Raw genomic sequence first — 3,954 nt, forward strand, 5'->3', positions numbered from 1 at the left:
TTCACCAACATTCCACTTTTATATTTTTCCCCTCTTTGCCCATTAGTTAACATCCTTGCAGTCACAGCTACCGAGGGCAGTGCTTGACATTTTCACTCCTGCCTAGGCTCTGTGGAACAATGTTCCTATGCCTGTGCTTCTTTCAGAACACTAGCAGAACTAGCTGCACATGCAGTGAGAACTTTGCAGAATTCTGCTTGGCTTTGACATGTCACTTCATCTCACATACAATTGTGAGACACCCCTACCTAGCATTTAGTGAGGTTGCAGAAAACAGCAGCAATTGCTTTTGTTGCCATTGTGGCAGATTTCAGATCCTATCTAATGAATAGGAAGGTAAGGTTTCCAGGAGTCAATTTGTAAGAGAACTATTGGTTCCAAGAGACAGAGACAAGGGATTTTGTACACATTTTTAGGGAAAAAAATCAAAATGAGAAAGATACCTGCCCCCTTCCCATGGCAACCCTGCCACCTGATATTATGTGCAAAAAAAGCAGCATGGCATCTAATCTAGTGTTTCATAGGGCTTCTAGGGACAATAGCTCCACCCTCACAGGAGTTCAGATTCAACTGAAAGGCATGCAGGAGTTAGATTTATGAAGATTAAAAAGTCAGCTTTATAACTGATAAAATCTAGGCTGAATTGGACAGACTCACTCCATGAGAAATCCTGCTGGTCAACCATAGCCCTGGTCAGACTCTCCGGGGCTGTGATTGACCAGCAGGACTTCTCATGCACTGAGTCTTAGAGCCCTCTCCAAGCAAAAGGAGAGTAGAAGCGACTTACTCAACCATGGCATAGTTCTTCCCATGTCAGGAAAACCACTTACCTGGAGAGAAATAGGGTGTGGGCAAGGAGCTTTACCTTCTCCCAGGAGAAATTCCTGCAAAGGAAAGGAAATCCCGGCTACTCACCCTTGGAATCAAGTGGGGAACACATTCTCCCATTTCAGTGTTCCTTTCTGGGAAATGCACAATACCTTTCAAGGCCACAATCCACATCTGTTTGAGACTGGAGCCCTTATTTTTTGGCATTATGTTACACTTCCTCCCTGGAATCCCTGGTACATTACAAGTATCCAACAAATATTTACTAAAGTCAGAATAATTATTCTCACTATCATTATTCTTTCAGTCATAAATAAGTTGGAATTACTAAATATATCTTTTCTAAAATGGGTGTTAAATATATACAAGTAAGAATAGCTGAAAACACTTGCCACATTCTTCCTGCAACATATTTCAAAATGAAAGCCGATGTGGAAATTTCTTCAGCTCATGTGACCCACAAAGCAAGTATGCTAGAAAAATCCTCTGTCATCAATCATGATAGTAGGTCGGGTCTGGAACTGAAAGCTATTAAAAAAAAAAAAAAAAAAAAAAAAAAAAAAAGCTTGTCTGTGGTTTGGAGAGGTAACGTTAACCAGGTCAAATTCTCAAGAGTGCTTATTTTTAAAAAATAAATCTATACTGAATAAAGAAATTTGCACTTGATATCATTTCTTATTAGCCTGGGCATTTTCATCTTTAAAAATCAGTAACAGAATTTACAACATCTTTTAACAGTAGCTTGAGAAGTCACAGTAAAGTATAACATTAAAGTAGCCTGTAATGCTGGAAAAGCTCTCCTTAAATCTTGAAATCAATAGCTTCACTTAGGATGAATTCAGCTGAAGGTTATGGAGGACAAAATTCAAGTGGCTGAACCAATACAGGAACTTTACTTATTATCTTCTTTTTTTTTTTTTTTTTTTAGAGTCTACCAGTAAGGCCCTCACAGCGTTGGTTGATTCAGTAGCTCAAATACACCACCAGGGACTCAGTTCTTTCCACCCTTCTCTTTTGTCATTGCATTGGCTTTTGCACTCAGACTTGTCACTTCCTGGTCACAGTATGGCTACCACCTCCTGCTTAAAATATGGCTGCCACAATATGGCTACCACAGATCCAAGCATCACATCTTCACACGTGTCCAAAGAATGGAAGAAAGTAGGCCCTTTTCTCAGATTCCTTGCAAGAATGAGAAGAAGATAATTCCTTCTGTCTCATTGGCCAGAATTCTGTTGTCTGCCTTTCCGTAGGCCAACCACTGGATAGAATAATAGACTTCCCATGACTGACTAATGTTAATTAAGATTCATTATCTAGGGCTGTGAAGACATCAGCTCCCATGAAGCACAAGGTGGCAAAGGTTTGGACAAAACTGGTTGTAAGCTACCAAGGGAGGGAGAATGGAAATGGCTGCTGGAGAGGCAAAAAAAAAATTCTATCTGATGCATCAGCAATAACAAAATATCTTAATTTGAAAAGCTATCAGGAGATGCCTTCAGTGTCAGTGTGTTTATAAATACCTGTCAACATGGTTCTGATTGCAGCTGGTACATCTTTTACCTCAATCAATGTTGCCTTGGTATCAGGCAATAATAACAGAAGGGTTTTTTTTTTTTTTTTGGTTATTGAATGTATTTAGAAAAATTCTAATTGTTCAATCTGTAAATTATCCAAGTCCCACATTTCTGTTTCTGAGAGGTGTTGGACTATTGTCTCACTTTGTTACTGTGCTTATGTTAGAGCAGAGCTAATTAAAATCCTTTTGTAACTTTAATTGAGTGACCATAATTCTCATTGCTCTAGGGTTTGACATTTCAACACCTTCAAATGGGCCTATATATTTCCTGAGACTAACCTATAGGCTGATTTTTTAAAATTGAACTTCGTAAAAATTTATCTAGCTTTGGAAAAGCAATATTCAATAGTTTTTTCACTCATTCATTTAGTAAATGGTCTTTCACTGCCTCCTATGTCCTGAGCACTGTTCTAGGAGCTTGATACAGGCAGATACAAGGTTTGCTTCCAGTCCAGTGAGGGGAATTCAGACAAGCATACAGTGTAATGGTAATGAATTTGCTAAATGCTCCAGAAAGCATAAGAACACAAGGTTGTAGTGGCCTTTGGGAGGCCATGATGGATTCTGCCTTACAGAAAAGCAGGCTTCATGATGGAAATGACATTGGCAATAACTCTTGCAGGATGAGTGGGTGAAAGGACAATTTAGAAAGCAGTAAAACCGTAAAGTCAAATGTGAAGAGATAGTGAAGGCACAACATATTTTGGGGAGGGTATGGAGCTCTTGGAGTGAACAGGTACACAATGGCTGGAGAAGTGGGTACATCTTGAAGGGAACTAGAACCTTTCTTAACAGAAGAGGTATTCCTTTTCTTTCTGAAATGTACTGTATCCCAACCATTATTTCATTCATCTATTAAATATTTCTTATGGGTCTAGTGAACAAAAAGTGCTTAGAATTTTATAAGATCAAGTCTCAAAAAAATATAAATCTTGTTTCCTACATCCTTACTCTGTCTCTCCTCTGTCTCCTTCTTTCAACCTATAAACATTTTCAAGCTTACTTTACTTAAAAATGTCTCCCTTCATCCTTCTCCTTCTCAGACCAGCACTCTACTCACTTTCTTCCCTTTGCCACTGTAGTTCCTGAAAAACTGTTGAAGACATGCTTTCATATTTTATTAACTCCTCAACATATTGCAGTCCTTTCTACTCTCTGATAATAGTTACCACCAAAGACCATCAAATTGCTGTTTTCAGTTTTCAGTCCACTGATCTCTGAGACTTAGCATTGTTATCCATACCTTCCTCCTTGAAATTTCTTCTTTTGAGTTCTAAAACAGCACTTTCTTCTTCTCCTATATCTGATGTGATTTCTTCTCAGATGTTTGCAGTCTACTCCCTCTCAGCCCATCTCTCAAATGTTAGTGTTCACTGCTCTGTTGGCCTCATTTTTTTTCTGTTCTTTCTCTCTGGTTTCTACCTAGATGACCTCATCTGAAATCACAGCTTCAATTAGTGTGGGCTCATCATTCCTAAATCTATTTTCAAAGACCTGACCTCACTACCAAACCAGGGACCTCTATTTCCAACTGATTCCTACAAAAT

The 3,954-nt window shown here is 38.7% G+C and overlaps 1 non-coding gene across 1 annotated transcript; it reads left to right on the forward strand.

Moving 5' to 3' along the window:
- Nucleotides 1-659: 659 nt before the first annotated feature.
- On the forward strand, nt 660-736 carry MIR4675 (microRNA 4675). The gene has a single exon (NR_039822.1). It is a non-coding gene; the product is annotated as a microRNA 4675 (primary transcript).
- The last annotated feature ends 3,218 nt before the right edge of the window (nt 737-3,954 follow it).

Source organism: Homo sapiens, chromosome 10, assembly GCF_000001405.40.
Source record: "Homo sapiens chromosome 10, GRCh38.p14 Primary Assembly".
Lineage (NCBI taxonomy): Eukaryota > Metazoa > Chordata > Mammalia > Primates > Hominidae > Homo > Homo sapiens.